The sequence below is a fragment of the Homo sapiens genome, chromosome 15 (assembly GCF_000001405.40).
Source record: "Homo sapiens chromosome 15, GRCh38.p14 Primary Assembly".
In the NCBI taxonomy this organism is placed as follows: Eukaryota; Metazoa; Chordata; class Mammalia; order Primates; family Hominidae; genus Homo; species Homo sapiens.
The window spans coordinates 100,706,627-100,733,575 of record NC_000015.10 but is presented as its reverse complement, the minus strand read 5'-3'; the positions used below and the strand labels follow the sequence as shown (position 1 = coordinate 100,733,575).

Here is a 26,949-nt window from a genome sequence, read left to right as displayed (position 1 = left end):
CCTAACCTCCTCTCAGGGTATCGTGAGGGTTCAAGGAGATGTCTGCACCAAGTCTTTGTGTGCAAAGCCTGTGGCTCCAGGGATTTCATACCTGTCTTTCCACTGGATGTCTTCTTGGTGGGGAATCTGCTGCAGGTCACCAGGATTAGCCAAGCCCTGGCTGGCAGAGACAAACATTCTCAGAATGTCAGTTTACTGCCTTCTGTGGAATGCGGCAGCCTGGAGACAAACAGGAACTGGAGCCAAGGACTCGTGTCTCTGGCCCCAGCTCTTCATTGTTAAATGCTCTCTTCACAGCCACGGGCTAACAGAGAAGCCACCAACAGATGGTTCTGCTTTGCAGCGTGATGGAAACTTAGGCCCATCCCCTCCTCGTTTACAGTGCGTGCCAGCACCAGCCATCCTTGTCACAAAAAGATACCCAAGAAACAGCAGAGAGCCAAGACTCTCATCAATAGAGAGCTGCAAGCTTCCCCCCATGGAGCTGAGAATGGGGTACTGAACAGGGTCTGAACCCAGCACAAACTCTTCATGGGATTTGGTAGCACTGGGCTTCTAGAGGGCAAAAGAAGCTTCCAAACAGACAAAAATATAATGGCAGGTTTATGTTCTTCCTGGAAAATCTGATGACAAGTTCTCATGGAATGAAAGAATTGGCCTAAAATATGACTTGGCTCCAGGTACAAACATCAGTGTTGGTCAGCCCAGGGATCCTAACTTAGCCAAGAACTGAGGAACCACATATAAGAAGCCTCGAGGGGCATGGTCCCTCCTGCAGTGCTGTGTCCTGGAATTCATCTCCAAGCCACTGTGACCTTTCTCCTATATTACCTTGTTGCTATTCCCGTGCACACAACTCTCACTGGCTTGTTTTTTTGCCCGAGGCCTTCAACAAGGCTCACCTGCTCTCAGAAAAGCACTATGGATACTAGGCTTGCTTCTCATCTAAGGATACCCCTGTTGGGAGGGAGCCACCAACACAGCATGCTGGGGCTGAGCCGAGACCCCTTCCTCGCAGCTGGTGGACTGGGGATGAAGACCCCCAAGCTGGGCCTGGGGATTTGGGGTTGGGACTTGGAAATGCCTGATAGGATTTGTCACACACACTTGAATTGAAAACATGTCAGCAAGGAAGTTCAAGGTTGAACAGAGTCTCTTTAAGGTCTGACCTTTGGTCTGCCTAGAGAGCCACGTGGACGGGGAAATGATAATGAGAGAAGGGGGCCCAGAAAGAAAGAGGGGAAAGGCTCCTTCCTGGATTCTCTCTGGATTTCCCATTCCTGGGTCCAGGTCTTCCTGAGCTGTCCATTCCTTTAGGCTCCCCATGTCCTTAAAATAAATGCACCCCATTTGCACACTTTTCTATTTTTTGCCTGTTTGAGAGGATCACCATTACTGGGAGGTGACAACTTGCCCTGACTTGAACCTCCAGCAGTCACAAAGCAGTGCAAGGATGTGGAAGCCCCAGTTTCAGACATCATCTCCCAACTTTATGCTTAAAACATAGGGCACATATGTGACAACTCCCATGACTGTTTAATGACAGTGAGGACATCCATGTTCCTCATCCTTGTTCATCTTTGCACTATCCTTTTGAGGCAATTGTTGTTCCCAGTTTACAGGTAAAAACACTGAGGCTCAGAGAGGTTAAGCAACTTGCCTAAAGTCACACAGCTTCTGCTAATTCAGTGTATTCCTCAACTCATCCTCCAGTGCTAGAGGCCCCTGGTCAGAAGGGCTTACAGAATTAACAAACCTTAACCAGAGCAGGACTCTGAGGAGTTTACTAGTCTCATTAAGGCCCTGACACATGTTTTAAATTCATTCATTTTCTCAAGCTCTGGGGAAAGCTTGCAAAAGCAGCCCAGTGGATGGCAGCTGTGGCGACAGATCACGTCCTCGGGGCTTCATTCAATGACTCACTCTCCTTGTCAGATTGAGCCCCTCTACTGCTGTGGCCGTTGCCTGGAGAAGAGGAGACGGCTCTGCCTGCTGCCGCCCCTGCCCTGGGTGAGAACCACCAGGGCAACCTGCCATAAATGCAGCTCTCCGGGTCCCCTCTAAGATGGATGGAATCAGATCCTACCAATGTCCATCCTACAATCTGCTTGTTTAAAAAGTGATTGCACAATTAGCCGGGTGTGGTGGCAGATGTCTATAATCCCAGCTACTGGGGAGGCTGAGGCAGGAGAATCGCTTGAACCCAGGAGGTGGAGGTTGCAGTGAGCTGAGATCACACCACTGCACTCCAGCCTGGGTAGCAGAGCGACAGTCCATCTCAAAAAAAAAAAAAAAAGTGGTTGCACAGAGCCTTATGTGCACTTGAACTTCAGACCTAAGTCACCATTTTGGAGACTTGAGGCCCATGTGTTCTCCAAGTGAACTGAAAGTCCTCCTTGTGGGCTTTCCCCCAGGGTTTCACTTCCATTCCTTTCCTGTCATTTCTTTCCTTTCCTTAGTGCTTTTGGTTCCTTGGAGCTACTGTGTGAGTGGGCCTGAGAGTGCTCGGGAAGTCAGATGAGGATGCTGCCATCACGCTGTCTTCCCAGCCATGTGGGAGGTCAGCCTGGGTGGTTCTGGAAATTTGCTACCCACTGACTGAGAGAGCAAAGACTGTCCCCAGGAAACAACTGGGTGACTCCCAGCACCTTCAGTGGGCCCTGGGCCCCAAAGGCCACTTTCCTGGCTGGTGGTCGCTGAGGGTTAACAGTGCCCCTGAGCAGTGTCACTTTAGAATCTTTATAAAGGCTGTGCTGGGCAACAGTCAAGTCGGCCGGGGAGGGCATTGGTTGAGGTTGTCTTGACTGTCTGCAAGGCTGAGAACACCTGAATCATCCATCTCAAACATGGGGGTAGGTGTGTAAACAGAAAGGGGGCCGGAGGAGTCCTCTGACATGCACCCTGCTGGTCAGCGCTGAGCCCAGGCCCTGGCAGAAAGGGCAGCCACCACTCAGCTCCCACTGATTGGGCCACATGGAGATGCATCCTGGAATTGAAAAGATCATCTGGATTTTCAAGAAATGGGAAATTCTGATTTTATGTGAAATTTCCCAACTTGTAATAAAATATCGGCATGTAATTTAATTTATAAACAACACCCTATACTGGCCAAACAAAATTATCTGCTGACTGGATGCGGCCCCCAGGCTGTCTGTTGTGGCCTCTGCTGTCAACGTTGTCTAAGAGGTAGTGGCTCTGCAAGGAGAGTGCATTGGCTTTGCTCAGACATGAACCTTCTGGTAGACAGTCTCAGCCTGTGGCTGCAGGCCAGCAGGGCAGAACCACCCAGGACACAGAGGCTGGGGTGGCAGGCACCAGAGGCTGAGCCATGGCTAGGCATGAGCTGGCCTGGAGAGCAGGTGTGGATAGGGACATCCGTTTATTCTTTTTTTTTTTTTTTTTGACACGGAGTTTCGCTCTTGTAGCCCAGGCTGCAGTGCAATGGCGTGGTCTTGGCTCACTGCAACCTCTGCCTCCTGGGTTCAAGTGATTCTCTTGCCTCAGCCTCCTGAGTAGCTGGAATTACAGGTGCACCCCATCATGCCTGGCTAATTTCCGTACCATTAGTAGAGATGGAGTTTCACCATGTTGGCCAGGCTGGTCTCGAACTCTTGACCTCAGGTGATCCACCCGCCTTGGCCTCCCAAAATGCTGGGATTACAGGTGTGAGCCACCGCGCCTGGCCTATTCTTTCAGCAAATATTTACTAGCTGCAGCATACGAGGCACTGAGATACATGGCAGCTTGTTAATTTCCTGGGGCTGCTGTAACAAATCACAACAGACTCGGTGGCTTTAAACAACAAAAATGTATCCTCTCACAGTTCTGGAGGCCAGAAGTTAGAAACCAGTAGCACTTGGCCAAAGTCAAGGTGTTGTTAGGGCCACCCTCCGGTGGAGGCACCAGGGGAGAAGCCCTTCCTCGCCTCTTCCAGCCTCTGGTGGCTGCATCACTCTAGTCTCTGCCTCGTGGCCACACGGCCTCCTTCCCTCCTGTGTGTGTCACATCTCTTTCTGCATCTCTTTTATAAGGACACCTGTTTGGTTTAGGAGCCACCTGGATAATCCAGGATAATCTCCCCATCTCAAAATCCTTCACATCTGCAAAGATCATTTTTCCTTATAAGGTAACATTTACAGGTTCCAGAGGTGAAGACCTGGTATCTTTGGGGGCCAGTATTCAGCCGTGAGTCAGGAGGAACATAACTCACAGGTGGCAAAGAACAAAAAACAGATAAGGTCCTTCTCCTCCTGGATCTTACTTTCTAGTGGGGAGAGGGAGCAGAAGAAAGCCAACATGCCAGTAAATACATAATAAAATCTCATGTTATAGACATGCTGGGGAGAACGACCAAGATCCGTTGGGCCCTGCTCCTCAGGCCTCAGGAATGTGCCCCACTGGGTTGTCCACCTCTGTCCGCCCCACCAGGTGGAGGCTGGGCTGTCCCTCACCGCATCCCCGAGCTCCTCAGCTCACACCTGTTGCACGTGTTTGCTGCAGACCCCGAGACTTGGTGAATGAGGACATCATCTGGTGGGGATTGGGAGCCCGACAGGAAGGGAAGCCATCTGGGTGGTTCCCTTGAGAGCTATCTGGCGTCCTGCTGGAGGATGCAGTCAGTCTGGCTGCAGCTGAGGAAGGGCAGGCTCCCTCGGGGCTCACCTAGAGGGCTTGGCTGGTGACCACAGACTTCTTGGAGCACACTTCCCTTCTCAGTTCGAAGCCCCACTGGGGAGATTTTCCTGGCCCACGTAGGGCTTGTGCTGGGAATTCCACACCTGCCTATCACAAAGCAAGCACCAGCAAGGCACAGTGGTGGCACCTTCCACAGAGGGAGGACTCCTCTCCTCATGGGAGGGCCTGGCAGTCACTGTGTGAAGCCCCCAAAAGGTAGGCTGGGTCGGAGGGCTCGCCTCCAGCTTTTGGTCTCCAATCTGGTTACAGCCATGTCTCCGGGAGCCCAGCCTCAGAGCTCCATTCCAGCAAGGCTGGTGGGAAGGGTCTGGACTGGGGCAGGGGGCCTGAAAACGTCAAGGTCACATGATGCATTTGATGGGGCTCAGGACACACCACCGCAAAACATGACCATAGGAGACCAAAATGTGCCACCTCCAAATACACTTCTTGGCGTATTTTGGTCTAGTTATTCAAGAAGGTGTCTGCACTAGGACTAGCTAGTAGCTCTGAAAAAGCCGTCCTTTTGTAAAAGAAATTTTTCATCTATAAAGGAAATCTACATTAGCTTAGTGAAGTATCTCTATCAGGAAGAGGGTTGCTCCCAGATAACTTTTATGACCTGAGGGACTTTTTATCTGCATAACAAGACAACCTTTATTCACCATACATTTCCTTCCCTCATCCTACCATCAACCTGTGTTGCCACCTCCATCCCCCGACCCTGGAAGTCCCAAGCCTCTGTTCTGTAGCTCAGTATATAAGGTTCAATTCTCTGACCCTTACTGAAGTCTTGTATTTTGTAGAATTCTCATGCATATATGTGTAATTAAAATGGTTTTCTCTTGTTTATCTGTGTTATGTCAACTTAATTTGTATCCCAGCCAAAAACTTAGCGGGGTGGAAGGAAGTCATTTCCCCCTCCTCTACACATGTCGATATTTAAGTGTGTTCCCATCCCCTTGACCTCCCCTGCCAGGCACACCCTGTTACTCCTACGTGTCAGATGTCATTCTCTCTTTATGAATGAAACGGGAGACTGAGGTCCAGGGAGGAATGTAACTCGTCCAAACGCCTTCAGATTCCAGCAGGCCGTGCTCACTGGCATATGAATTTAAACGCAGTTAGTAAATAAAATCCTCCAAAGCCACCTGCATCCACCCCTCTCTGATATCCCGGGAAGTTGGGAAACTCTGGAAGTACGCTGGTCTTCCCCGCAGTGGGAGCAGCGGGGAGCTGAGACTCTCCTGCCTGCCCCGGAGGAGCAGAAGCGTGGGAGGGCGGGCAAGTCAAGCACTTGGTATCTCCATTGTGAAACACCGGGATAATCAGGTTCTCCTTCCGAGGGGAGAGCCGTCAGGGCAGGTCCACAGAAGCCACGCGAGGGCTTTGAACTCTGCAACAGGCAGGGCTGGAGGGAGACAAAGGAGCCCCGGGGTGGGTATAGTTTCCAGGGCAGCCCTGGCCCTGGTCCCCTGACACCCTTGGAAAACAGAGAATCAGGCTTGGCATATTTAGCACCCGGAAGCAGCTAGGAACGGTGGCTGCAGAGTGAGGACTGAGTCATCCCGGTCACACCATCTACAGTTGTGTGTCCTTGACCACGAGTCCCCGTGGGGACTCAGTGTCCCCACTGAGAAAATGAGAACAATGCCCCTGACACAGGGTTGTTTTGAAAATTAGATATAATTTTCCATAATCCATAACACAATAGGCCCTACATTCAATGGTAGAATATTCTTGTTCTTGCTATCACAGTGTGACCTTGGGGGAGTCCATTCATCTCTCTCTACTTGGTTTCTTTAGATGTCAAAAGAGACATTCTCAGGTGCTTCGCTTTTCTCGTCTTTAAAATGGCAGCAGTCACAGTATGTTCCTTATTGGATGCTGGGAGGGTGCCACAAGTGAGCGTCAGTGGAACAGAGCCGGGTTCATGCCGAGTACTCTGTGTGTGTGCTGGTATCCGTGCTACTCTATGGCACTGGGACATATCATCATTCCAGGCCTTCCCAGGAGGAAAGGAATGGGATAAGAATGAAATCAGGGTAATGGGGATGGTAGAAGGAAGCCCAGCAAAGCCGCTGCTCCACGCAGTGAGGAGGGAGCATAGAGACCCTCCTACTCTCCCCCAGGCTCAGAGTCCCCAGGAAGCCTGGGGGACCACAGCCCTCCTCCGCATTCCAGACTGCAGCCCCAAGCCCAGGATCTCGAGTGTCCTGCAAGGCCCTGACCCTTGGCAGCCACCCGGCAGGCCCATGCATACTAGGGCAGGCCCAGTGTGTGTTGGACTCAGGGTGGGCATATGTGGGCAGGGCACATGCACAGTGCACTAGTGAGGCATTTCTGCCCGCATTCCACCGACGAGCAAACTGAGACGTAAGGAGTTTCAGCAAATTGTCTGAGCCCCATGGTGAGTCAGTGAGGGCTGGGAAACTGGAGCCCTGCTATCCCTAAGGCTCCTGTATTCCCTGTAAGGAAGTTCTGGCATCGCCTAGAGAGAGAGTATTCTCTCACTGCTCACCACCCACCCCCACCCCAACCCAGCCCCTGAAAACACCCATGGGGCCTGGTAAACCATGAATCTCTCCCAAGTGTATCACGAGCTGGGCCCCATCTGCAGCAGGCATCCCCGGAGGGTTACATGCGGGTCCTGGTGATGCGGTGGGGCTGGCTGGTGGTCCACGCCATGAGGAGTGACCACATAGACCACCCTGCCCTCTGCCTACTTCCCAAGCTTAGAGTCCGCAGGAGGCCTGGGAGGCCACAGTGCCCAAATGGAACCAGGTATAGGCTACTTCCCTCTGATTGCTTTCAAGAAATCTGTGACCTCTGATCCATTCTGGGCTGGCCTCATTTAGGAGGTCAAGTTTCATGTCCCTTTTAGGAACAACCATGAGTCCCAGGCTGCCTCTGGCCCCTCCTGGCTTCTCTTCCTTCTGCAAGCATCCCTTGACAGAAGCTGGTGGAAAGCAGCTTGTCTGTTCTTGTGGGGCAGCCTCCAGGCATGGCTGCTTCAGCAGGGGCTCCACTTGCCCCTGTTAGCAGCTCCCCACACCCCCGATCCCATTCCCCTTAACCCAAAACTTCAGGAGCTCTGGGTTTACTCAGTCCAAAGGGGTCAGCCCTGTGCCACTGGAGTGTCTCCAGCCCACCTGTGGCCTTGGCCTCTGTGGCTATGTCCCCAAGGTGCAACAGAAGAGGCCGAAACGTTCTACAGAGTTCACTGCATGGTACCACGCACTGCAGTGATGACCTTGAGGATCCAGGCCCAAGAACAGGTGGAGGGGCACCCAGGGCTCAGGTCCATGTGATTCACTCAGGCTCAGCCATTGTTGCAAAGTCCCTCCAGGCCAGCTTAGCTTCCCGCCTGTACCTTTGTAGTCATGCTACAGCGTGGAAATACATGTGAACATGGCATGGTCTTTGGTCAGTGAACACACTGCTCCGGGGTCTCCCTGTGCACACTGCTACACTCTGTTTCCCATCTCTTGTTCAGTTCAGAGCAGCTGCATGTCTGACTTCCAACAAAGGAATGTGGGGAAAATGACGGGAGCCACCTCCAAACCATCCATGAAAACCTCCCACACAAGACTCCATGACCTCTCTCCATCTGCCTGCTGAATAGGGAAGCCCCTGAGGACTAGAGAGGGCAGGGCACAGGACAGAAGCACCGCGGGTCCCTTCCCTGGGTTGCCACTGAATAAGAGCCACCTGGGAGAGCCTTCCAGCCCAGCCAGGATCCCCCATGTGGGACCACTGCATCAGTGAAAAGAAAATTCCAGTGCTTTAAGCCAGGGGTCAGCCAACTGCAGACTGCAGGCCAAATCCAGCCGCCTGCCTGTTTTTGTATGGACTTTTGTATGTGAGCTCAAAATGGGTTTTATGGGTTTTTTTGTTTGTTTGTTTTTGTTTGTTTTGTTTTTTTTGAGACAAAGTCTTGCTCTGTTGCCCAGGCTGGAGTGCAGAGGCCCGATCTCAGCTCACTGCAACCTCCACCTCCCAGGTTCAAGCGATTCTCCTGCCTCAGCCTCCCAAGTAGCTGGGATTTCAGGCCTGCGCCACCACGCTTGGATAATTTTTGTATTTTTAGTAGAGACGGGGTTTCATCATGTTCATCAGGCTGGTCTTGAATTCCTGACATCGTGATCCACCCGCCTCAGCCTCCCAAAGTGCTGGGATTACAGGCGTGAGCCACCGCGCCCGGCCAGGTTTTATGTTTTAAAAAAGGATTTAAAGAATAGGATTTTGTGACACAGGAAAATTATATGAAATTCAAATTTCAGTGCCCTTACATAAAGTTTGATTGGAGCACAGTCACGCCAGTTCATTTACATCCCATCTGTGGCTGCTTTCACAGGACAACAGCAGCGGTGAGAGTTGCAAGACCGTATGGCCTGCAAAGCCTAAAAGTATTTCCCCCCAGTCCATACAGAGAGTTTGCCAACCCCTGCTTTCTTCTGTCACTAGGATTTGAGGGTTGTTTGTTACAGAAGTGAGCTTATCCTGGCTAACACAATTAAGTGACATGATAAATATTTTTTTTTTTTTGAGATGGAGTCTCACTCTATTGCCCAGGCTGGAGTGCAGTGGCACTATCTCGGCTCACTGCAACCTCCGCCTCCCGAACTCAAGCGATTCTCCTGCCTCAGCCTCCTGAGTAGCTGGGATTACAGGTGCCTGCCACCACACCCAGCTAATTTTTGTATTTTTCGTAGAGATGAGGTTTCACCACATTGACCAGGCTGGTCTTAAACTCCTGACCTTAAGTGATCCACCTGCCTTGGCCTCCCAAAGTGCTGGGATTACAGGCATGAGCCACCATGCCCAGCCATGATGAAGATTTTTAAGACTTTGAGATGTAGGGCAAAATTGCCTTTTGGAGGATTATGTTAACTTATACACTCCCACCAAGACTTATGAGCAGGACAATTGCCCCACTCTTTTGCCAATCCTGGGCATGTGACATACCCTCACTAGAAAACAAGAATAATGATTCCACCTGCCTAGGGCTATGGGGGAGCCGAAATGAAATAGTCTGTGACATAGTAGGTGCCCAGTAAATATCACTATTGACCTTTGGGTGCTGAGAGGTCCTTCTCACAAGAGTGAGATCATAATACATGGATGTTTTTGATGCCTAAGTCTGGCCCCACAAGGAGGATCTTCTGATGCGTCAGGCGCATTGCTTTGAGAATGTCTGTGGATGGTACTCTCTCCTTCTGATGCCCATGTCATTAAGTGGCCCTGTGACGATATCAGAACTGCCTGTTCTTTTCTTTATTTCTTGGGTTTGCACAACTCATCCAGGCTGTTAGAAGTGGAATGCGATTAGATGAGGAAAAGAAAAAAAAAAGCCCTGAGCACTTCTGCCAAGGAGAATTATACAGGTACTAGATCAGCACTCTACTCTGATAGAATGAGGAAACCCAAAGGCAAATTGGCACAGCCCTTTAAAAAACAAAGAGCGCTGTGTCCCCTTTGAAAATTCCTGCTGGTGATATGGCCAAGAAGAATTCGGGAAGATGAGAGGCAGTGACCAGACCACCTGAATTCCAGCACACTCCCTGGTTAAGAACTAATGGAAGTAAGGAAACTATTTTTGGAAGCTGGTTAAATATAAAAAGCAGAGACATGGATGGAAATTATATCAGACGACATCCACCATGCTCTCAGGAAAGTAAAAAGGAGAAAGGGGAGAGGGTAGAGGCAGTGTGACATGCTGCAGCCAGCACCCATGGTCCACAGGGCCCAGCTGTTAAATATTTAAGAACTTCGTGAACCTGTTGTTTAACTGTTGGGAAATTAAAGTCAGCCATGGTGGAAGTATGTACACCACAGAAATTGGCAAAAGCCACAGATCAGGGCTTTGTGACTTTTTTCCCCAGAGTTCCAATTTACCAATACACCCCTGGGTAGAGGGAGAAGAGGGGAATGAAGGCAATGTTCCATCAGGAAAGGAGCCTCAACTCAGAGGAGGAGAAGCAGCAAAAAGGAAGAGCAATAACCTTAGTTTTTTTTTTCCCTTAGGGAAAATTTTCAGATATGGCCCAGACGGGTTAAGTGACTTGCCCAAAGTTACACAGCTAAGAAGTTTTAGAGCTAGAATTTGAACCCAAGTATTTCTGGTAATGATGATTTCTTTCAGTTTCTTTTTTCTTTCACTATCTCAACAACTGATTAATGAATTAATGAAAAGGAGTCACCTGTTTGAAAAAAGTGTCTTTAGGGTCAGCTGCCTGAAAAATTCTGAATTCATGGGTTAGAATCACATGTTTGCTTTTGGCTTGGTTACCAATGGCTTTGTTTTCACAAACCAAATACACTCTCAAAGGACCCAAATTTGCTATCTTTAAGGATTTTCTGTATGACTAATCCTGCATGTATAATCCTGGAAGCCAGTTCCAAAGATTGGTTTTGAGAATGCTTTGGTGTTATCTCCTGAGTAATGAGTAATCTCTCAAGAAGTCCAAGTGCAAAAAGAAACACTCGCTTAGAGGCCAAATTCCAGGTATAGTCACTGGATCAAGGGACAAGATGGCGAGTTTGAAGCGGGGGCCTACCATCTACTGGCTCTCTCACACTTCTTAAAGGACCCATTGGCTGGTGTCAGGGAGGTCGGGGAAGGAAGTTAAGGAGAGCTGGAAACATCCCAGGCTTCTGTTTGCATTTCTTTGGCAAGGGGTTGCCACTTGTGTGGACAAGTATTATTAGGATGACCTACCTTGATTTAGCTAGTCAGGATAAATAAAAAACCTTCTTGGTTTTCATAAATACTGTGGCATTTTACAGTCATGACTCAGTGCTTCATCTGCAATCAAGATTCAGACACCAATGACCAATGGTTGGAAGTGATGATTCATTCAAACAGCACATTGATTTTGCAATAGACCGTGGAACTCTGTCCACATAAAACTCATTGTATTTCCCTGTCAGAACTCAGAGTCGTCAAGGCAACCTAGTCCTGCATGCCAACTCGTTCTGGTCCGTGTTCACGTTTTGTGCTCACGGTCCTGTTCCTGTCGGTTTGAGGAGTGGAAAGTTCCCTGACATCAGCACTGCTAGCTCGTCCTCTTCAGGGGCTGATACTGCAGCTGGCTGACTCTTGACAGCAGGTGGTTCTCCCCATTTGGGCAGGGCTTATGTTCTGCAAGGTTTATTAGGGCCAATTAGCTCCTCAGAAGGGTATTGCAAAAATAAAGTAAATTCAGGAGCTACCTCCCTTCAAATGGACACTGCTCTACCAACAAGCTATGGCACATCGAGGGCAGCGGCGTTAAATTCTCAGCCTTCAAGACACAGCCTGCAGCCCGCCCTCCTTTCCCCAGCAGCTCCTGGGAGCATCCCGGCCACGTGGACATGGCAGGCTGGGAAGACCCAACGATGGGGCACTATGCCATGTGTAAAGGGGATAACTAGCTTGGAATTACCCACTTACCGTATCCAATCTAACTTGGATAACTGTGAGAAATCGTATTCAACAATACTATTTACATATTGAAACTGTCTCAATAATTTGTAGATACTCATCTTTTCTGGAATGTTCATGAGTAATTTGTCTCAGTATCTCTATGTAACTGAGACAGAAAGCTTGGCTCTACCCATGAAAGAATTAGTCACTTACATAAATAAGGATACAAACGGCTTGAGGAAATAGATTCTGTGAGACTCAAAACAGGATTACCAAGAACTGAAATGTACACCGGTGAGGCACATCACGCCACACACACACACACACACACACACACACACACACAAGACCCATCTGCCCACCGCCCTGCTGGCACCAGCATAGCAACAATGAACAATGGTGTGGAATGCGTACAGCATGACAGCACTGACATTTCCTCTTCCCAGTTAACCAGCGTGGCACTGCTGCGGTTCATTCACTGGCAGCTCATTCATTTGTTCCTTAATGTGACCTGACTCCCCATTCATTCCCTCCCCACCCCAAACCCGTCACCAGGCTCTCTGGAACTCTCCTATCTCCTCCACCTCTTCTCTAAATCTTCCTTGTGCGGGAACCTGGCTGCCCCCTCCCCTGAGGGCCCCACTTCCCCTGCAGCCTCTCAAGGAGGGGAAGGGTTGCTGGTGTAAGAAAGTTGGGGGTGGGTTGGAAGCTGGGAGTGTCCCACGGCTGCTTCTACACCTCTCTATTCCTCCTGGCCACTGGCTTCCTCTCCCCGCTGCTGTGGTCCATCAACCTTCATTTCGGGGCAGACTTGAGCTGCTCATTGGCTTCGTCTCTTGTCACCACATGGCAGACTGTCTCTCTCAATGGCGAGCCAGGTCCTGACCTCCCCAGCGCCTGAGCTGTCCTCCTCCTCCCCGCCCCCAACACTCCCATGGTCTCACCCTGCTGTTGCCAGTAGCTTCCCCACATCCAAGGTCTCCATCTCCAGTATCCCCTCTGTGGCTGCCACACAGGGTCCTCCCAGCTCACCCACTCAATGTCCCCATGGCTGCAATCCACTTTCTCCCCAGTCCTCCCATCCCCACCCTCAGCACCTTCTCCCTCCCTTTCTTTACACCCTCCTCCATCATCGTAACCCTTACCTCCCTCCCCACCCTGGCACTGTGAGTACTACACCCCCATGACTGACCTCCCCACCCTGGCACTGTGAGTACTATACCCCCATGACTGACCTGCCCACCCTGGCACTGTGAGTACTACACCCCCATGACTGACCTGCCCACCCTGGCACTGTGAGTACTATACCCCCATGACTGACCTGCCCACCCTGGCACTGTGAGTACTACACCCCCATGACTGACCTGCCCACCCTGGCACTGTGAGTACTATACCCCCATGACTGACCTGCCCACCCTGGCACTGTGAGTACTACACCCCCATGACTGACCTGCCCACCCTGGCACTGTGAGTACTATACCCCCATGACTGACCTGCCCACCCTGGCACTGTGAGTACTATACCCCCATGACTGACCTGCCCACCCTGGCACTGTGAGTACTATACCCCCATGACTGACCTGCCCACCCTGGCACTGTGAGTACTACACCCCCATGACTGACCTGCCCACCCTGGCACTGTGAGTACTACACCCCCATGACTGACCTGCCCACCCTGGCACTGTGAGTACTATACCCCCATGACTGACCTGCCCACCCTGGCACTGTGAGTACTATACCCCCATGACTGACCTGCCCACCCTGGCACTGTGAGTACTATACCCCCATGACTGACCTGCCCACCCTGGCACTGTGAGTACTATACCCCCATGACTGACCTGCCCACCCTGGCACTGTGAGTACTATACCCCCATGACTGACCTGCCCACCCTGGCACTGTGAGTACTATACCCCCATGACTGACCTGCCCACCCTGGCACTGTGATTACTACACCCCCATGACTGACCTGCCCACCCTGGCACTGTGAGTACTACACCCCCATGACTGACCTGCCCACCCTGGCACTGTGAGTACTACACCCCCATGACTGACCTGCCCACCCTGGCACTGTGAGTACTATACCCCCATGACTGACCTGCCCACCCTGGCACTGTGAGTACTACACCCCCATGACTGACCTGCCCACCCTGGCACTGTGAGTACTACACCCCCATGACTGACCTGCCCACCCTGGCACTGTGAGTACTATACCCCCATGACTGACCTGCCCACCCTGGCACTGTGAGTACTACACCCCCATGACTGACCTGCCCACCCTGGCACTGTGAGTACTACACCCCCATGACTGACCTGCCCACCCTGGCACTGTGAGTACTATACCCCCATGACTGACCTGCCCACCCTGGCACTGTGAGTACTATACCCCCATGACTGACCTGCCCACCCTGGCACTGTGAGTACTATACCCCCATGACTGACCCTAATCTTGAATGGACGCAGCCATTTGCCTTCTCCACATAGCTGTTGTTGCCAGAGAAAATCTCCCAACCAGGACGACTGGTTCTGCCTCCATCCATTAGAACATGACTCAGGGGCACTCAGCATTGCTCAGGGTCCCGAATCCCTTCCTTGGAGTTGACTTTTCTGCTCTCTGAGGCCATCTCATGCTGTCTCCTCCCCTGGTCCACCCACAGGGCTGCCCTCACCTCCTGGTTCCTGCGTGAAACACTAGAAGTGAAGGGACCTCCCTTCACTTCCTGCATCCCATGGAAGCACGTCTGAGTCCTGGGAACTGTGACCTGCTCTCCTACCCCAGCCCTCATCTCGTGGCATCCTGCGCCTGCCCCTCTGGCCCTTCCCCTCTCTCACCATAGCCTTCAGCCTGTACACTGGATCATCCTTGGACATGCAGATTCCAGCACCTTCTACCTGAAAAAACCACACCCTCCGCCCCATTTCTTCATCTCATTCTCTGCCCTCCTTCACGACAGAGGGTCTCCAAAATGGCTGTCTACACGCTGCCTCCATTTCCCCACCTCCACGATCCATACCTCTTCAACTCTCTCCAGCCTGACTATTGTCCCCTAGCTCCGTGGAAGCTCCCTTATTAGGGCCACCAATGTTTCCTTGTTCACAAATCCAGTAGACACTTTTTTCTCCCTATCGGCGTTGGTCACAGTCGTCCGTCCACTCCTCCTTTTTTAATACCTTCCCCTCCCGACTTCCTAGGCCTGTCACCCACTCAGCTTCCTGCAACTGCACTTTCCACCCATGCCTCGCCCTGTCTGACCAACGTTCAACACTGCAGCGCGCTGCCTTGGCCCTGGGTCCCTTCTCCTCCTCATCTCTCTTTTCAGAGGATCGCATTCAGCCTCATGGCTTTTACATACCTTCTGTACTCTGAGGATGCCAACAGGATGTCTCCAGACCTTGCCTCACCACCCGTACTCTTATTCTAGCTGCCCCCTTGGCACTCTCACTTGGCAGTCTAGGAGGTGTCTGTCATGGAACAGGACCAAAATGGAGCTGTTAGTCCATTCCCTCTTCCCTCTGGGGAAAGCTCAATGAAACAAGTACACACATTTATTCTTGAGCCTTCTCCAGTCCTTCTTTCAGGCCTGCCACCAAGAAGATACCCTTGAGGCTCCACCCCTAAAACCTGGGTCAGTCTGATCTCAAACCTTTTGGCCTTTTACAAGATAACTTGACAGGAAAGTCCTTGTGGCTCAGTAAGCTGTCATCCCCAGCTCCAAGCTCATCCAAGCCTTCAGCACCTCTCTGGCCTTGTGGCCTCCAGCTGCGTGCCCATTGCAATGCAGAGCTGGCATCCATGCTTTCCCAGAACACCTCCTCCCCTGTCAATAGCTCCTGGTTTCCCCATGGACAACTCACCTTCCTCCACTCTCCACCTGTCTTAGCCCAAGGTGACCGTACCCCCAGCTACTTGACAGCAGGAAGACAACTCAAGTATAGCCAAACAACCTATTCCATTTCCTTGGGAACAGGACCCAAGCCAGGCCAAAAAGACCAAATTTTAGGACTTGGGAGTTACTGGAAATGTGACGCTCTCCAGCTGGGAGGGAGGGGGTCTTGATGACATTATTTGAGCCACTAAATCCACTTATTTCTGCACCTTTCAGTTATGGGGGCCAATAATCCCCCCACCTTTATTTTTATTTAAACCAGTTTGAGTAGGGATTATTTTACTCACAACTCAAAGAGCTCTGATGAATGCATCAGTTCACTCATTCATTCATTCATTCACTCGCTCATTCACATACTACGTGCTAAGCACTAATTCACCCGCTAATGATTTGCCTAATCACCATTGTGCTCACGTCACTGAAACCATATATGCCCTCCACCTGACCCCATTGCTTATGGGATCTAAAGTCCTGGCATTTATAATTCCATAGTTGGGCCCTATCTGATATTTTTCCAGGCTCCTTAATAGAAACACACACATCAAAGAGACCAATTCCCTCTAGTCCCCTTCAAAAACCATATTTACTCCAGTTTCAACACTGTGTTGCACACTCCCAACTTGATCCATCTCCGATGCCCATCTCTCTCTCTCGGCCCCTCTGAGGAGTCACAGAGAAGGATGCTGGCTCACAAACCATGCGTCCTTCTGCAGCACCTCCTCTGCTGGGTCCTGCTCTACAGCACTGTCCCAATGCATACACGTCCTGCTTCCCAAAGGGCAACGTGAAGGCCTGCGTCTCAAGTAGAGTTTGTGCCTCTGAGTGCCTGGGACAGAGCTGGACATGCTCCTGAATGACAAGAACAGACACTAGTACACAGCTTACTATTGTCCAGGCCTGGTTCTATGTTAATTCAATTAACTCTCAGGATAGCCAGCAGTTGGGAAACCAAAGCACTCAGGAACTCACTCAAGGCCACATGGCTAGCAGGTGACGGAGCTGGAATAAGAACCTGGAACCGCCTCAATATGGGATTTCATCGAGGAAGGGGCAGAAGAGACCTTCAGGGAAAATGCATTTCTGAGGCCTCCTCTTCTAACCCAGTGCCTACCCTGCCATCTGAGGTGAACGTCCTTACTGAACTGATCTCTGCCCGAGTGGCTCAGAAAGTCAAGTCTATGGATCCCTGTTGGGCATCGTGTCAGTGTCAAAGTGCTCAAATGTTTCTAGACTCTTACCCCCAGCATCGGGTCTTGCAGCTTCCCAGCCCAGTAACAAACAGTGGACAGGTAGGGATCCGTGGCCCATTCTTTGAGTATAGGATCCAGTCAGCTCTTCTCCTGGAGTGCATGGCACCTCTTCACCTCTAGTCAACCCTGTCCGAGGTGGGCAGCCACATGTGATCCTAGAGTCCAGAAGGCTGGAGGCATGAGCTGAGAAGCAGGGAGCCGGCCAAGGAGACACCAGCCTGAGCAGAAGGCCAGCGGGAGCAGCTGAGACAGCGATGGGAAAGCAGCCCTGGCTGCTCGGCCTCCTGCTCCTAAGGCCAGTGGCCACAGGCCAGGCCAGCCCTGTCATTGACAGTCAAGAAGCCAGGGATTCAGTGCCAAGGGCCACTGGGTCTCCTGAGAATAATTAACCAGGTCCCCACTCGAAGACAGAAGGTCAGATTGATGGGCCTCCAACCAGGGGTCAATGGCCTCTGTCTGGTAAACACTCAAGTTTCATTAATTCTTTCAACAAACATTTACTGATTGCTGGGCTCTGTGCCAGCATGTGAGATCGAACCAGGCCTTCTGTCTTCTGGGCTGGTTGGGAGACGGGCGCCTCAACAAACTCTCACACTGACGGTCAAGGGAGGGGTGATGGGGAAGAAGAGGGGACACGGAGCCACCTGCTTGGCTGCAGCTTCATAGAGAAGTTCAGTGGCCTCTCGCCCATGCCTGTGGTATGCGAAGCTGTTTGGGGACCTGCCCCTGCCTTGCCCAGCCCATTTCTCAGCATCAGGGCAACTGATCCTTCCAGGAGCCTCTGAGTTAACAAGCACAGTAAAAGCTAGGGGTCTTGCCGTGGGCCAGGGGGCAGCACAAGCACAGAAGCCCCTTCCCCACTAAGTCCTGCCCCTCCTCCGGTCCCTTTCCACCTGCCATTCATTCGCACCCCCAGAACCTGATGTTCTGAGCTGGGACCTGTCACTTCTCCAGCAGAGGCTGGGAGGACAATAGAAAGACAATGTTCCTTATTCCTGAGAGGCAGCGTGACAGAATTTAAAACCTCAGCAAGATCTGGGTTCAAATCCTGACTCAGCCACTTGACGAGAGAGCTATGAAGGGGTCGAGCGCTCAGACAGAGCCAGATGGCCGGGGGCCGAATTCCAGCACTGCCACCTCCCCTGTGTCAGAGTGTGTCACCTAACGCTCCTGTAAACTGAAGAGCACTGAAGAACCTGCCATGTGTTTGTTCAGAGGAGCGAGCAACTGATTTCACGCAGGGCTTAAAACAGGGCTTTGCTCACAGCAAGCACTTCACTCTTGCCAGTTGTTGTTGGCCGTGGTTATTATACCTGCTGGGAGGGACATTGAAAGATGTAAATGGGCCAGTCACTTAAACATGTTGAGTAGGTGCCTGGCAAACTTTAGTGTCCTTTCTTCCACGTTTTTCTGTTAAGATAAAGAACACAAGGAAGGCAGACCCTGCCACCCCCAGCATCCCCATGGCGAGGGCCTGCCGGGAGGGGTCTGTCTCCCGGGGCTGCTCCCGTGGTTCCCAGGGTGGCAGCAACTAGATTCCATTTTTGCAACACCCCTCAAGTCCTCTCAAGGGTCATGTGAAGTTCTTGAGATAATATCAATTTAAATTCACCTGAATGTTTAAACATGGTTCTTTAAAGCAGGAAGACAGAGAGGTGGAAGAAGCTGAATGGCCGTGCCCGCGGGAGCATGGCTGGTCAGACGCCGGGTCTGAGGAGTACCGAGGTGAGCCCAGAGGACACTCCCCAGCCTCTGACCCTGGGGCAGATGCCAGGGAACTCTCTCCCTGGGACAGGCCCTACGTCTTGTGCAGGGAGGGAAGCTAAGTGTTGTGCAGAAAAGACAAGGCTTAAAATGCTGATTCCCCCTCATGCCTGCCACCTCCTTCCTACCAGGCAGGGGCTTTTCTTGCTGCCTTTTTCAGAGCATTTTGTGGGAGGAAAGAGGAAAGCCATTGAGGGTCTCTAGGCTGAAGCCTCGAGGCTGGAAGGGATGGTGCAAAGGGAAGCAGGGGACACCAGACACGATCTCCCACCTGAAATGAGTGCCACACAGCCTGGCCAAGTGATGCTTAGCTAGTGAGGCGAGCTGCCTGCAAGGCCAACAGAGCCCTTCTCTCTGTAGCTGTCCTAGCAGCCAGCCTTGCCCTCTGAAGAGAGAGGAGGCCTCACTGGGGGCCTTTCTCCATACAGCCTGCTAGGGACCTCACGGATTGTTGAAAGGGTAGCGCCATTGGGACCTCAGAATCACCTGCACGTGCTCCCAGGGGGCCTGGGTAGACCTGGCCTCAAATCCCATTCCCTGACCACTGCCTGGTACCCTGTTGGCTGAAGGAACATCCCAGTGGATCTGCCAGCCAGGAGAGAGCCTTAGATGTCATTTCATTTCAAGTCATGCCAGCCCTTCCCTGAGCTGCCCACTGTGGTTTGGGCTGAAGTGTCCATCTAGATAGATAATTGCCAACCTTGGCCTCATGTTGGGACTCGGTTTTTCCTAGCCCTCTTTGGCTTCCGTCTGCCTCTCCAGCTGGCAGAATCCTATCGTGCCTGGGCTGGCGGCACCGGCAGGCACCTGGGCAGGGCCGGCCAAGGTGAGAGCCAGGCCACCAGGTGAGCCCAGGCCACGATACCAGCAGGTGATTCAGGTAGCGTGAGGATGAAGTCTCCTAGGGAGAGGAGCATGGTGGGTGAGTCACTGCAGAGGAATCCTCTGGGGTTATGAATAGGCCTGGCTGGCGAGATGGGAGGAAGAATGATAAAACACCATTGTAGGAGCAGCTTCCTGATAGGCAGTTATGAAACCAGGAATAATCCTTCTGAGGGAATTTCAGGCTTCAGGCAGCTTTGAGCCCCTTCCGTGCCAAGGCCAGCGTTATAAAGTGCACGAGGTGCCTGGGGCCTGCCGGAGCTGCGCCTATACAATGGCATTTAATTTATCAGCATGCCAGCCTCCCAGATAAGCATGCCCATCCCCAACTTAGACACGGATAAACAGACCAGGCGAGGCTCCCTGCCCGGGCTCCACAGCTGAACCAGTACAGGAACGCAGGTCTGTCTGACAGCGAGGCTTCTGCTCCTTCAACCAGGCCATGAGGCTTGCTGGCCAGCCGTGGGGGACAGGCAGGAGCCAGGAACCCCAAAATGATCACACCGTAAACTCTAGCATCCAGAGATTCCTAGTACAATGCGGTCGACCAAATACTCCACTGAGATTCGTATGTGAGGCCGGCTGCGGGAAACGCTGCCCAGGGAGGGAGGTAGTTGGAAATCCATTTAAATAGAAGCAGGTCTGTTAAAACCACTTCATCTTCATTTCCTTTTTAAAAAATTAAATAGGCCGGGCGCAGTGGCTCGCGCCTGTAATTCCAGCACTTTGGGAGCCTGAGGCGGGTGGATCACGAGGTCAGGAGATCGAGACCATCCTGGCCAACATGGTGAAACCCTGTCTCTACCAAAAATCAAAAATTAGCTGGGCGTGGTGGCAGGCGCCTGTGGTCCCAGCTACTCGGGAGGCTGAGGCAGGAGAATCGCTTGAACCCAGAAAGCAGAGGTTGCAGTGAGCCGAGATCGCACCACTGCTCTCCAGCCTGGCGACAGAGCCAGACTCTGTCTAAATAAATAAGTAAATGCCACAGCTGGAAGAGGCTTCCAACAGGAACCAAGCAGAGGCCCGTTTTCTGCTACAAGGTCATCTTGCTTCCATTTGCCGGTGAGGGTCAGGTCTCTGTCCATGCAGGAGTTCTGGAGACCATTCCAGAAATTCCCTGGCCCACACAGCCATGCCCACTCCAGCTTCTCCCACACAGCCCTCAGATGGAGCAAGGCTGGGCCTGGCCGGGTGGGCACCAGTGGCCTCAGGGGAGACCAGAATGTGGTCTGGTTGGGACCCCACCCGCTTCCCTGGGCTTCAGGCCCAACATGCAGGCTTATGCACATTCTCAAGCTGCCTGGGAGCTGGACATTGGGGGCGAGTGACGTCAGAGCCTGGAGAGAGGATCCTCCGGCTGTGGCCTACGGGGTGTGGTGGGGATGGAGTCTGGCAAAGTTTCGCCTGCTCCTTCGAGCACTGCAGGCACAGAACCTCAGCAGGCCAAACCCCATCAGCACCAGCAAGGCCAGGAGGACACCACTCATGCAAACTAGAGGGTTTGGTTGGCCTGTTTTTGTTTTCTACATAAATACCAAACAACCATCTCTCCTTGCCTTTGACAAATCAGCAGCTCCATTGTGAAAGCTGACAGTGGAGGATGCACTTCAGGGAGGAATGGAAGGGGTCCAAGTCACCCTGGATATCTACTTATCTGGAACAGGGGGCTCTGAAAGGGGTGTCTGGGGAAGGTCTTTTCTCTAATGGGGATCAAGAAGGAGCTGGCAGTAGCCTGGACAAAGCAGCTCCCCCCACCCCATAGGCACCGCTTGAAGCTCTTGCCTTTTCCCTGTTACCGTAGGATGACGTAAGTCCCAACCTGTGCCTCAGCTCTGTCTTCCTACTAGGGATTTTCAAGACGTTTGGCTCTTCTGAAGCCTGGACATTGCACACACAAGTTAGAGCCAAGCACAACTGCTTTAGCTTAAAACAAACTCTGCCTTCTGTAATTAAAGCCTCAACGCAATGGCTGCAATGTCTGTGTGCTTGCTGGCTTGTTTCCTGTGATCTCTCCAAGTATATCACAAGCCACTCATACGCCATATGCAAACCCAGATGCACAGAACCCCACCCCCAACAACCCCAGCCTTCCCTCCTGACGGTGAGACATGGGCACTTCATTTATCAAAGTTTGAAGAGGCCAGATACGTGCCAGGCATCCTGCAGCTTGTGGTCTTTGGCTGCATTCGAGTTGCTGGAACATTTATCTAACAACCCAAGGTGCCAGAGCTACTAACGCTGTGCTGAGGGCAGTGCAGCCTGAAGGGCTTTGAGGAAGGGAAACCGTATAATCCGAACCCAAGCCCAGTTAGCATGGAAGCAACACAGCCATCTGCAGAGACAAGCCCAGCCCTCTTAACTGTCAACCCAAGATCAGTCAAGGGATCCAAGATACAGGTTCTGCCATTCCCAAATTGCACACACATCTTTCTCCACCAAGTGGCTGCTTATGAGCAACTGGGACGAAAGCATGCACCTAATCCCTTAGGTCCATGACAACAGGGCAGGTAGGGGTGGAGGTGGAGGTGGCGGCAATGGTGGAGATGGTAGAGCTTGTGGTGATGGTGCTTGTGGAGGAGGCGGTGATGACCACGGTGAGGAATAGCAGTGGGTAGGCCGATCCTGGTTCAGATGGAATTGGGTTGGCACTCCTTCCCGCAAGAGCATGAGCAACTGCACCGCTGGATCTTATACTCAGGAATTTTCCGATAGATTTAACACTTCAGAGGCACAACTGCCCCTTCCTACTAGAGCTTAAAGAGCACATCGTAACCTGGGCCCGACATCAACCTGTCTTTCCTTCTGCTCACTTTTCCAGGGGTTCCGTCCATTTCTGTGGCTGTTGACTCCCAAGTCCGTGTTTCCAGCCCAGAACCCTCCCCTGAGCCTCAGTTCCTACATGGTAGTTCTTCAGGACATCCTGTGTCTGTTCTGCGATCAAACTCAGCATGTCCAAATGAGCTATTTTTTAACTTCCATCCTGGTCTCAAACCTACCATCATTCTACATTCTCTATCATGATGAATCCATGCAGACACGAATCAGAAATTCCTACTATGTCCTGCACTCATCATCACCACCTCCCCTATGACCACTCTACCATCACCTGTACGAACACCTCCATGACCTCAACCTCCACCTTCACCCCCATTTCCACCCCCATCCCCACACCCACCACCTCCACCTCCACCATCGTCACCACTTTTACCTCCTTTACCTCTGCCACCACCACCACCACCAATATAAACACCATCATCATCTCCACCTCCACCTCCACCTCCACCATGACCTCCACCTCCACCTCCACCTCCACCATGACCTCCACCACCACCTCCACCTCCATCATGACCTCCACCTCCACCTCCACCTCCACCACCACCATCACAACTTCCACCACCACCTCCAATATAAACACCATCATAATCTCCACCTTCACCTCCATTTCTACCACCACCATCTCCACCTACACTACTTTTACCTCCACCTCTACCACTAACAACATCAACACTATCATCACCTCCACTGCCTCATCTTCGCCTCTAGCTTCTCTTCCACCACTATCACCTCCACTGCCTCATCTTCGCCTCTAGCTTCTCTTCCACCACCATCACCATCATTGTCACCTCTAGCTTCCATCACCACCACCACCACCACCAACACCACCTCCACCTCCATCACCTCCACAGTCTTCACCACCACCTCCACCTCCACCTCCAACACCACACACACATACACAAAACTTTGTGTGCATACACACACACACACATGCACACACTCCTACTGGGTCAGGTCACCTACTTTTAGTGATTCTTTCTCCTAAATTCTCTAGAGTCTGCCCCTATGTCAATCTTGCCATATCCAGCTCTGCACTCTTCATCTTCCTCTCCTCCCATCTGGCCTAGACACAGCTGTTACAGTGACCTTTCTAGAGGGCTTAAAGCCTGCAATGACTTCTTACCACATGCCCCCAGACTTTCCCAAATGTGCCCTAAAAGAAAGAGTCTTGATCATATTTGGAAAATGCTGAGTTAAAAAACTTAAATGCTTATGTTTACTGTAAGCTTTGTCACAGCCTTTAATATAAATGGGTATTGAGCCACATCTAGAGGAAGAATAGAGTTTCCCATAACTTGCTGGGGCTCCTCAGGGAAAAGTGGATACTGAACCACCTCTTTGGCTCTTGCTTCCCTTTCTCTGCCTTAAAAACCCTTATTCTGCTGATAAGAATAAAGGTTCCTTACACATCTTCCAAGGTGAATGTGGTCAGCCCCTCTCTACTCCTTCCTCACTCCTTCTCCAATACTGTAATCATCTGTCTCCATTTCTGATTTCCCCACTTGTCTGGAAGCTCCCTAAAGCAGGGAATAATAGTGATCTCCTGGGCCAACACAGCAATCAAGAAATGGTGTGTGTCCCATTCGTGTTTGTGGAGTAACTGTTGAATGTTTACTGATCTGGGCAAGAAAAGTTGAAGCAAAACCAGTGGTCTACTGGAGTGATGTGCCCACCCTCTGCATCTCAGGCCCTCTTCTCCCTCCAACACCTCAGCTCACTGCCCTGGACCCTGCCTCCACCCCTCCATCAATGTCGCTCTTACTCATGTCACCAGTGGTTGGAACCACTAACTCCCCCTGGCACATTTCTGCTTTCAGCCAACTCAACTTCTCAGCAGAATTCTACACAGTCCACCCTGTGGTCTCTCTGAGACACTCTCCAGCCCAGCCCCTGCCTGGTTTTCCTCCCACCCCTCTGGCTACTACGCTGTCCTGGTCTCCTTTACTGGCCTGGGCCTCTCTATCCTTCTGGCCAATGCTGGCATCCCTTCAGGCTTGGACCTTGTTCTCCTCATCCCCTGCTGGGCTCTGTCCATTAGCAGTTTCCTGACCCTTCCCAGCTGCTCCATGGCTGTGACTATCCCCATCCTCTGATGACCTGTCATGATGTGTCTGCCCCAGACTTCTCCTTGGACCTTCCAGTCTGATCTCACTAACTGCCCAATGGACTAATGTCCTTTAATATCTCACTGGCACCTCAAACTCAGTGTAGCCAAAATCTTAACTCTTGATCTTCCCCTCCAACCTAATCTGCCTCCGGTATTTTCGCATCTCCATAAATGGCTCATCCATCTGGCTTACCTCCATGGCTTGGCCAAAGTTAGTTCCTCTACACAGATCTTCTTATAAATGTATTTTTTTGCAATAAGAATAATAAATATGTGACCTGCACTTTTAAAATACCATGTATAGGCCAGGTGAGGTGGCTCATGTCTGTAATCCAAACAGTTTGGGAGGCGGAGGCAGCCAGATTGCTTGAGCTTGAGACCAGCCTGGGCAACATGGTGAAACCCCATCTCTGCCAAAAATACAAAAATTAGTCAGTCATGATGACGTGCACCTGTAGTCCCAGCTACTTGGAAGGCTGAGGCAGGAGAATCACTTGAGCCCAAGAGGCAGAGGTTGCAGTGAGCCAGGATCACACCACTGTATTCCTGCCTGGGTGACAGAGCAAGACCCTGTCTTTAAAAAAAAAAAAAGTAATCATCTTGGTTTACTGAAACTCTTTGTTATTGATTAGCAAATCCCCATTTCCCCCTGCTCTGGCCCCTGGAAATCACCATTCTACTCTCTGCTTCTATGAGTTTCACTATTTTCAATATCTCAGATGTAAAATCATGAAATATTTGTCCTTCTGTGACTTGTTCATTTCACTTAGCATAATGTCTTCCAGGTTCATTTATGTTGTTGCAGACAGCAGTATTTTCAGCTTTTTCAAGACTGAATAATATTCCCTCATGTGTCTATACCACATTTTCTTTATCTATTTATTCTTTGAAGACACTTAGGTTGTTTCCACATCTTTGCTAGTGTGACTCATGCTGCAATGGCAGAGGAGCGCAGACGTCTCTTCAAGATCCTGATTTCAGTTCTTTAGAACAAATACCCAGTAGTGGGATTGTTGGATCATAATAGGTCCATTTTTACTTTTTTGAGGAATCTCCATACTGTTTTCCAGAGTGGCTGCACCATTTTGCATTCCTACCCAGTGTGTGAGGGTTCTAAATTCTCCACACCCTTGTCAACACGTATCTTTTGGGCTTTGGTAATAGCTATCTTGACAGGTGTGAGATGCTATCACTTTGAGGTTTTGGTTTGTGTTTCCTGGTGATTAGCGATGCTGAGCATTCTTCCCAGTCCACCCGTTTCTCTTGATCCTCATTGCCACCAGCCAATCCAAACACCAACCTCTCTATTGCTTGCATTCTTGTGGCAGCCTCCAAACAGGTCTCCTGGCATGTTCCTATCACAAAAGGCAGCAGCCTCACCCTTCTCAGCGGATCAACAAGAAACTCCCTTCTTGCCTCCTGGAGGCTCAGGGCTCTTAGACATTCTGCTTGTGTCACGCATAATGGAGCTTGCTTTAGTTTCCTGGGGCTGCCAGAACAAATACCATAGACAGGGTGGCTTAAACAAAGGATGTTTATCATCTCACGGTTCTGGAAGCTGCAAGTCTGAGATCAGGGTGTCAGCAGGGCTGGTTCCTTCTAGGGGCCATAAGGGAGAATCCGTCCCAGGCCTGTCTCTCTCCTGGTGGGTTGCTGGCTATCTTTGGTGTTCCTCGTCTGGTAGACCCCCGCCTTCATCTTCACTTGGCATTCTTCCTGTGTGCGTGTCTGTATCCAAGTTTCTCATCTTTATAAGTTCACCAGTCATATTGGATTAGAGGCCCACTCTATTCCAGTATGGCCTTTTCCTAATTTAACTAATTGCATCTTCAATGACTCTATTTCCAAACAATTAGGGCAAGTTCTAAAGTACTAAAGCATTAAGACTTCAACTTCAGTTTTAGGGGCAGAGCCTGTCCACAGGTCCAAAGAAGACGTCACAGAGCCCTGGGTCAGCTGGCACGGGTGGGGGTCTCTCTGTGGTTGGTAGCACATGGACAGGGTGAGCATTGGTAGCACATGGACAGGGTGAGCATTGGTAGCACATGGACAGGGTGAGCATTGGTAGCACATGGACAGGGTGAGCATTGGTAGCACATGGACAGGGTGAGCATTGGTAGCACATGGACAGGGTGAGCATTGGTA

General features: G+C 51.2%; 1 long non-coding RNA gene across 3 annotated transcripts in view, besides 5 other annotated features; it reads right to left on the bottom strand.

Moving 5' to 3' along the window:
• LOC105371024 (uncharacterized) overlaps positions 1 to 17,517 on the bottom strand; it is a 116,308-nt gene extending 98,791 nt beyond the window's left edge. For 2 of the 3 annotated variants that reach the window (XR_932726.3, XR_932728.2), the window contains exon 1: positions 17,205 to 17,517. This is a non-coding gene — a long non-coding RNA (uncharacterized LOC105371024). Of the gene's footprint in view, positions 1 to 91; positions 2,149 to 17,204 lie in introns of those variants that run through there. The other variant, XR_932729.3, reaches the window with a different exon arrangement.
• Positions 10,578 to 11,777: an enhancer, noted in NCBI's record as "BRD4-independent group 4 enhancer chr15:101262004-101263203 (GRCh37/hg19 assembly coordinates)". NCBI's record gives its function as "activates an origin of replication core promoter dependent on BRD2, P300/CBP, MED14 and CDK7 cofactors, and independent of BRD4, by STARR-seq in HCT116 cells {active_cell/tissue: HCT116}" and the evidence as "EXISTENCE:reporter gene assay evidence [ECO:0000049][PMID:35650434]".
• Positions 18,339 to 19,172: an enhancer, noted in NCBI's record as "H3K4me1 hESC enhancer chr15:101254609-101255442 (GRCh37/hg19 assembly coordinates)". NCBI's record gives its function as "activates a minimal SCP1, AML or CMV promoter by ChIP-STARR-seq in primed H9 embryonic stem cells {active_cell/tissue: H9 hESC(primed)}" and the evidence as "EXISTENCE:reporter gene assay evidence [ECO:0000049][PMID:30033119]".
• Positions 19,173 to 20,006: an enhancer, noted in NCBI's record as "H3K4me1 hESC enhancer chr15:101253775-101254608 (GRCh37/hg19 assembly coordinates)". NCBI's record gives its function as "activates a minimal SCP1, AML or CMV promoter by ChIP-STARR-seq in primed H9 embryonic stem cells {active_cell/tissue: H9 hESC(primed)}" and the evidence as "EXISTENCE:reporter gene assay evidence [ECO:0000049][PMID:30033119]".
• Positions 19,173 to 20,519: a biological region, named in NCBI's record as "P300/CBP strongly-dependent group 1 enhancer GRCh37_chr15:101253262-101254461".
• Positions 19,320 to 20,519: an enhancer, noted in NCBI's record as "P300/CBP strongly-dependent group 1 enhancer chr15:101253262-101254461 (GRCh37/hg19 assembly coordinates)". NCBI's record gives its function as "activates an origin of replication core promoter dependent on BRD2, BRD4, P300/CBP, MED14 and CDK7 cofactors, with strong dependence on P300/CBP, by STARR-seq in HCT116 cells {active_cell/tissue: HCT116}" and the evidence as "EXISTENCE:reporter gene assay evidence [ECO:0000049][PMID:35650434]".